General features: G+C 38.6%; 1 annotated feature.

Moving 5' to 3' along the window:
* Positions 6,511 to 6,580: an enhancer, noted in NCBI's record as "active region_25100". NCBI's record gives its function as "activates an Ori minimal core promoter by ATAC-STARR-seq in GM12878 lymphoblastoid cells {active_cell/tissue: GM12878}" and the evidence as "EXISTENCE:reporter gene assay evidence [ECO:0000049][PMID:35858748]".

The raw sequence follows: 8,649 nt of genomic DNA, 5'->3' as shown, positions 1-8,649 counted from the left end.
CACATTCTTGCCCTCTGTCTGCCTGTCTCAGAGAAAGTAGCATCTTTGAAAACCCTCAGTAGTGAAGAATCTGAGACTCAGGCCTGTCAAAAATGAAAATTGGTTAATAAAATAAAAAGTGACATTATATGTGATTTTCTCTGGTTACATAGCTCATTGGGTTTCCTTTAGGACAGTGCTGCCAGGTAAAATTCAATTCGAGCCATATATCTACTTAAAATTTTTTTGTGCCATGCTAAAAAAAGAAGAAAAGAAACAGATATCCCTAAAAAAAAAGAAACAAATATCCCTAATTGTGATGACATATATACACATATGTATACATATGTATATACATACTTTTTTTTGAGATAGAATCTTGCTCTGTTGCCAGGCTGGAGTACAGTGGCGTGATCTTGGCTCACTGCAACCTCTGTCTCCTTGGTTCAAGGAATTCTCCTGCCTCACCCTCCTGAGTAGCTGGGATTACAGGTGCACACCACCATGCCGGGCTAATTTTTGTATTTTTAGTAGAGACAGGGTTTCACCATGTTAGCCAGGCTGGTCTTGAACTCTTGACCTAAAGTGATCCACCTGCCTTGGCCTTCCAAAATGCTGGGATTAGAGGGGTGGATATGTTTTATTTAAACTAATATATACAAAATGTTATCATTTCAAGGTGCAGTCAATAATAAAAATTATTAAGAAGATATTTTACATTCTTTTCTTGGTACTAAGTCTTTGAAATCTGGTGTATATATTATACCCATGGCACAACTCAATTCAGATACTCAATACTCATCAGAAATACTTTATTTACAAATTTAGAATTCATAAAATGTATAGTTGAAAAAGTAGATTGCATACCCAAGTTGTTTAAAACATACTTAAAATTTTTTATACTTAAAAGTTTTCCTGTAACTAAAGCAACTGTCAGTTTTAAATTTAATATTAAATTAATTAATGTTAATTATAAATAAGTTAGTCATTAACTATCAATAAATTAACAATCAATAATTGTTAAATTAATTAAAAATAAATAAATTTTAAAATTCAGTTCCTCAGCCACACAAACTGCAGTTCAATTGCTCAATGGCCATATGTAGTTATGGCTCCTATATTAGACAGTACAGCTGTAGGGCATGGAATTGTTCAAGGTCAGATACCTTGGCTTAAGGTATTATGCTGTCTTCAAGCTATTCATACTCATCTTCATCATTTTCTTAAAGATCAAATTTGTAGAATTCCTGAGTGCTGGAAAATAAAAAGATTTATCCCAATAGGTTCCAGTTAGATCATTTGATATTCAGCTTTTGATCAAACAATAAACATTTACCTTAAATGGATGTGTAGGCTGCCTGAGTCAGTGATAGCAGGCAGGGTAGAAGGAGGGCAGGACGTACATATCTGACTTGGAGTCAGAGACCCTGAGCTTGAGTCCTAGGGCTCCCAAACTCACTGTGCAGCTTTGGGCAAAATGTTTAATATTTGACCCTAAATCTTCATCAATATAAGAGAAATGGTACGTGTACTATGCATGACCCCACAGAACCAGAGTGAGGATCTAGTGGATAATATATGTCCAAGTGTTTCATAACCTGTGGATAAATTACTACAAGAACACAAATATGGTTTGTAATTAATAGACTGAGACACTAGATTAATAGCTACTATTTATTAAGCATTTGCTATATGTCAGCCACTTTTTTAGACTATTGCTAACCCTCAAAGCATCCTTGCCAGTAGTGAGTCTTATCTCCATTTGACTGAGGAGGAAATAGAGCAGTTGAGAGTTTAAGTACATGTGCAAATTTACACAACCTTTAAAGTTTAGAGCTAGGTTTTGAACCCAGGCTTTTATGATCACAAAACCTTAGGGACTTCCTAGGAGATTTTTTTAAAGTGATATTATTCCTAGATTTCTTTTCAGTAATTGAATAGTTCATCTATGAGTATTGCAAATAATGAGTGAACTGAGAATACTACTTATTTTAAGAGGGATTGTGAAATTCCAGACCTATAAGAGGGTTAACTCATTGCAACAAATAGAATAAAGAGTAACTCCACAGAGATTTTTGAATAAGAATTTACTCCAGATAATTTTCCAAAGAAAGAATACGTGACCTACTGAGGTCAGTAATTATTGGCATTTCTGGCTTTGAGTCATGCCTGGGGCTGTAGGACTTAGTTGGCCATGATTAGGCATAAACTAATTAAGAAAACAACTGGGATTTAGTAGTATTATGGTCAGTTTTCATGTAAAATGTAAAAGCTTTTCCTTTATGAAATATATGACTTGGTGTTAGTGAAGGCAATGAAGGGAATCAACAACAAATCAGCACCTCTGATATTTTGAGTATCACCATGCTGAAATCAGCTTCCAAAAAATCCAAAAGGTAGGGCTTTCATTTTATTTAAGCTATTTAGATATCCTCTGGATCACTGATTTGTACCAAAAAGGATGCAAGGGAGCTCTAACAACAGGACCTAGAAAATTTATGTTGCCTCCATATAGTAAAAAAGAAATGTATCTGTCTTTTATTTTTCCTTCTGGGATTTCAAAAATAATTTTCAAGATTCATAGTTGGCATGGTGCTGTGTTGGACATATCACAAAAATAGGGCATTTATCACTTCTTCTTTTTTTTTTTTTTTTTTGAGACCAAGTCTCACTTTGTCTTCCAGGCTGGAGTGCAATGGCGCAATCTCGGGTCACTGCAACCTCCACTTCCCGGGTTCAAGCAATTCTCTTGCCTCAGCCTTCTGAGTAGCTGGGAGCTGGGATTACAGGTGCCCACCACCATGCCCGGCTAATTTTTGTATTTTTAGTAGAGATGGGGTTTCACCATGTTGGTCAAGCTGGTCTCAAACTCCTGACCTTGTGATCAACCCGCCTCGGCCTCCCAATTTATCACTTCTTTGGAGGCCAACAAACACTCAAGGAGGGTTTACTTTGTGACAAGCACTTGCTAGGAGCTTGCAGACAAAAGATGAGTGTGACAAGTACCTGCCCTTGGAGGTGCTTAGTGGGAGGAAACCAGCATGTAGTAATTACCATACAAGGTGCATAAAGTTCTGTCCAAGGGAGCTTGGGTTATTCTTAATTCCAACAACCAGGTAAGAAGTTGGTGAGCACTTGCCCTATGTAACCCAGGCTTTTCTTTTCTTTTTCTTTTTTTTTTCTTTTTGAGACAGGGTCTTGCTCTGTCACCCAGGCTGGAGTGCGGTGGCGCAATCACAGTTCACTGCAGCCTTGACCTCCTGGGCCCAAGTGACCCTCCCACCTCAGCCTCCTGAGTAGCTGGGACCGCAGATGTGTGCCACCATGCCTGGCTAATTAGTTTTATTTTTTGTAGCAACAGGGTCTCCCTATGTTTGCCCAGGCTGGGCTCAAACTCCTGGGCTCAAGTGATCCTGTCTCCTCAGCCTCCCAAAGTGCTGGGATTATAGGTGTGAGCCACCGTGCACAGCACAATGTTAAGTGTTTTCAGTAGATTGCCCTGAGCAAAGTTACTTTCCCTGTTGTTCTGACACTTAATAACCCTAGGGTGTTGTCAGACTCCTGTTCCAACCATTGCTTTGAATTAAATGACCACATTGATCCATTTGTAACCATTACCTCTTGGTGTACATTAGTTTTTGAGCGGGGGTTTGGTCAAGAATAGGCCCACATGAGACTCTGGAGTAAAAAAATCTCAATTAACCTCATTAGGTAGGTGATAAATCTTAGCAAGTGTATTGCATTTGGTAGCCTTGGAAAGAGGACTTTTTCAGTTTTGCTCTGCCTCTCTAATAAATATAGTACTCATAAATGCATGTTATATTCAACATGTTATAAAGTGCTTTTTAAAAATAATTTCTTCAAAGACATATAGTTTTTTGGCTATCATCGAAGTCTTTAAGAATTGTAGTATTAGATTCTTATTTTCCATGTGGTACATATACACCATGGAATACTATGTGGCCATAAAAAAGAATGAGAGTATGTCCTTTGCAGGGACATGGATGGAACTGGAGGGCATTATCCTTAACAAACTAACATAGAAACAGAAAACCAAATATCACATGTTCTCACTTTTAAGCAGGAGCTAAATGATTAGAACACATGGACACATAAAGGGGAACGATACACACTGGGACCTACCTGAAGGTGGAGGGCTGGAGGAGGAAGAGGAGCAGAAAAAATAACTATTGGGTACTAGGCTTAGTACATGGGTGATGAAATAATCTGTACAACAAACCCCCATGACCCAAGTTTACCTATATAAACCTGCACGCGTACCTGTGAACCTAAAAGTTTTTTAAAAAATAGATTCTTGTTTTCCTTACTGTAAACAATCATGCCAAGGCCTCTTGAACTGCTCTCTGAGAGCAACTACTCACCTAAAAGAGATGAGTGAATCCATTGTGGCATGAGGGACTCCATTGACTGTCCAGTCTCCTGGGAGGAACTCTGCAGCCATGCATGTCATACCAAGAGAGTCGCTCCAGTGATTACTTCCCAGAACAAAGAAAACCTCAGGCCAATATTAGATATCCAATCTTCATGTTGTGTTCCACCTCTATATAGATCTAAGAGAAGCTTGATTTTGAAGGTAGCATCCCATAGCCTAACTGAAGGCTTTGAAATGAGATCGTGGCTTGTCTATCACCAAGTGAAAGAAAGCAACAGATATGTCCAGGAGACTGAGATCCTTCCTCTGAGACTGGCTGCAGCATCTCTCCTCCTGAGATGCTCCATTTAGTGAGTGACAGCATTGGGGGTGACGTTCTTTGGGATTCAGAAAACAAGAACAAGCTCTCCTATTTTCTGTTTTCTCTTCACAGTTCTGCCTGCCTTGCCTAAGGGGAGTTTTTGGAAAGAAACCTCCCTTCTTAGCCACCCTTCTCTTTGAGAATACCAGATAACTCCTGAAGGTGGGGGAATTCAGAACTAAAGACAGAAGCTGACAATCTGGAGCCAGCGGATAGATCTGCAGAGGCTGCATCACCTGGGAGTCAGTGATGGCAACCCTGCAGGATCGGAAAGACAGTGTTACCTCAGGAATATGTTAGGAAATAGAAATATATATAAAATAGTATATGTGTGTATATATATATATGTAATAGTATATGTGTATATATATGTATACATAAAAGTATGTATATATACATAAAATGAACATTCTGAACCTATATGAAAATTAATTGAAGGAAGGAAGGATGGGAAGTAGAAGTAGCAATATTTGCAGTGTTTGTGTACTAAAAGTTGGTCTAATTTCCTGACCAGTGTGTACATTAAAATATTGCCAGTATTCTATGTGGCATGTGATTATCTGCCATGATTTTCTTTCCTTAAAAGTTTTTAGGCTGGGCGCGGTGACTCATTCCTGTAATCTCAGCACTCTGGGAGGCTGAGGTGGGCAGATTACTTGAGGTCAGGAGTTCAAGACCAACCTGGCCAACATGGTGAAACCCCGTCTCTGCTAAAAATACAAAAATTAGCCAGGCATGATGGCGCACACCTGTAATTCCAGCTACTCGGGAGGCTGAGGCAGGAGAATAGCTTGAACCTGGGAGGTGGAGTTTGCAGTGAGCCGAGATCACGCCGCTGCACTCCAGCCTGGGCAACAGAGCGAGACTCCATCTAAATAAATAAATAAACAAATAAATAAATAAACGTTTTTAATTAAGTTCTCACTCTACTTCAGTGCTCCTGATAGAAAACACTCATACAAATTAAAAATTCAATGTATATTTTAGGTCTGTGAGTAGACTTTAGGAGACAAAATTTTATGTAAAATACAATGAATATATTCAAGTTTTCGTTTTTTAAAGGCGAGAGTTTCCATAGCAGTCATTAGATTCATGAAGTTACTGTTGGACCCAAAAAGTGAGGAGTCACTCGTGTCTTATTATGTGCCATTTTGTAGAATCAACCTAATTCTGCCTTACAGAATGAAGCTGAAAGAAGTTCAACTAATTTAAATCTAGTTCTAAACAACTATTTCATCCATAAATGTGAATTTGATGGAACCATAGTCAAGTATGTTATTTGCTACATACAAAGATTGGAGACAAATCTAAGTATTGTATTTTATAATTATTAAAAATTAAATCGTGTAGTTTTCTGCTAAAAGTCAGAAACTTCTAGTTCAAAGAATTTGCTTTTAAAATGTAGTTGTTGATTTCCAAAAAAAGATGAAACCTTGTGTAAGATTTTGGTATAAGAACGTTAATCTTTTCCTCTCCCCAGAAATACACATTAAACTAAAGAGAATCAGAATTCTAGTCATAAGCTTTTATTTTTTGCACTTGAAGAACTGAAAGCTTTCTCTGTTTGTTATTTTCTGAAGGAGGGGGTTTCCTGTGTGTCTTTCTGAAGTTCTGGGGATCCCCTCATCTTTTCAGTCCTAGGCACCTTTTTCTTCATATTGAGCATCCTTTGAACCAATAAGAGTGTCTGTGGCCACGGTATGCCATCCCCTGGCAGAGCGATCTGCGTTTTTTCTTGACTGAATCAGGGTGCTGCCTCCTGGTATAAGGCTTGAGGTATCTCCAAGTGCTGACTGCAGGGCCAGCCTCAGAAGGAGACAGAAACTGACTGATTTGAAGGCATGAAAGACTGGATTCTCAGCTGCACTTATCATATTCATGATGTCTAAATTTCTTTCTTTCTTTTTTTTTTTTTTTTTTTTTTTTTGAGACAGCATCTCATTTTGTCACCCAAGCTGGAGTACAGTGGTGTAATCATGACTGTCTGCAGCCTCGACCTCCTGGGCTCAAGTAATCTTCCCACCTCAGCCTCCTGAGTATCTGGGATTACCAGCGTGAGCCGCCATGCCCAGCCTGAAATTCTATTTTAAAAAATGTACTACTTTGAAGTTTTTCTACTCCTTTTCTTACTATTATTAATCTAATATTTTGGCTAGGGGCATTCGGACATCTATTTACATATAAACGATGAGAAAAGAGGTTGGTTCGTGGGTGCATGAGAACCTAGGAGGGAACAGTTGGGGCGGGTTCAGCATGGGAAGCAGGGAAGTTCTCCCAGCATGAGCTTTGGCTGAGCCTCTTCCAGGAGGAAGAGCCCAGGGCTTGATGCTGCCGCTCCTGCTGCAATGCCAAGAATGGCCACTAGGGAACTGGGCCCACTTGTCAACTTGCCTTCTACCCAAGTTGGTAATAAAAAAAGCCTAAAACCTGCGTCCGTTTTTCAAATCATTGTGGAGTAAAAGATACATATTTCTTTTATGCTGAGATCTGGAACTTTAAAAAATCACAAGTGGTGTTTTAAATGTATTATTAATGCAGAACACTTTATTATAGTTCAATAAAGAATTCTATGTCTCCATTACACAGACTAATGACACCTCCAGACATAGTTATAGTAATTTTCCCAGCTGATACAGTTTAATTAATGATATAAGGACATAATTACATGTTTCAGTGATCTTTCACATATTTACAGGAACTGCTGTAACTAGCTTAATTAGAGTAATTACGTAAATAGCTGATAATGCACAACAAATTACAGGAAAAAATCTTCTATAGTTTGGTGTGTTCAATTTCTAAGCAAGCTTATAGAAGGAAAACATTTACATCTTGGGATAAAATGTAAGACTATGTGGCCTCTAAATTTTGTTGTTCCTAACCCAGCAGAACATAACTGTTGGAGGTTTAACAGTTAACTTGTCTTCCTTTTGTAGTTCTGTTGCAGACCTCATGTCAGTTGTTGGTTGTGTTCTATGAAATTGCTCATTCTGCTTTGCCACTGGCTGAAGTTTCATGATGAGTTTTTTTGTCATGTTGGGTAGTTATTATATTGCACTCACTGAGAACTGGAAAGGGCGCTTAGGGAAAAGGTTGACAAATCTCACACCTCTTTTTCATTTCCTTTCTTGTCCTTTCTTTAACTGATATCTTCTGTTTCCTTCACACTCATACACAAAGATGTTTCTTTGGACTGTCCTTTAAGCACTCTTTCTGTAGTTAAACACATATTTGTAAAGACTACAATTGATGTTCTCCTGTGGAGTTCTAGTTCTGGTTACCCACCACTCAAGTCCTTTCAATGTTGTCTTTCTCATTGAATTGATCAGCCTTTGAGTCCTTAGAGAGAAGCAAGAGCCCCTTTTTAAGTGAAATAATGCCCCTCCTTAATCAGCTGGTGTGTTTCCATTGGCTGACATCAGGCACGCCCTCTAACTTCCTTTACTTTTGCAGACTACTAGATCCATATCTTGGTGCTTCTTGTGGAAGAAGACCTAAGGAAATCCAACTGAGCCAAAAGAAATATCAGCCTTATGTAGAGGATAGGGTCAAATTTTAATTCCAGTTTGCTTAAATCAATGACTCATCGTTTTGCACATTCATGCTCTGCCTAATTTTTCTGTCTTTTACCTGCCCTACTTTCTGTCCTGCTATCCCACAGCATGAGACCTCTCTGTTGGTCAGGCCAGACTCTTGACTGTCCTGTGAACACACTTCTAAATCCATGTATTTATTTCCTTTTTGTCTTCCTTTTTACTGGATTTTACCAGTTTTTGAGCCCCTCTTAGGTTTACTTCCTGCAAGAAGCCTTTCATTTCTAATCTCATTGATTTTTATCTTCCAGGACACAGCCTACACTATGAAAATCAAACAATTCTACACTGTCACGTATTGTGCATCCACCTCTTCTCTCCAACTA

The sequence above is a fragment of the Homo sapiens genome, chromosome 6 (assembly GCF_000001405.40).
Source record: "Homo sapiens chromosome 6, GRCh38.p14 Primary Assembly".
Classification (NCBI taxonomy): Eukaryota; Metazoa; Chordata; class Mammalia; order Primates; family Hominidae; genus Homo; species Homo sapiens.
The sequence above is the reverse complement of the archived record's forward strand: the minus strand, read 5'-3'. Positions and strand labels throughout refer to the sequence as shown.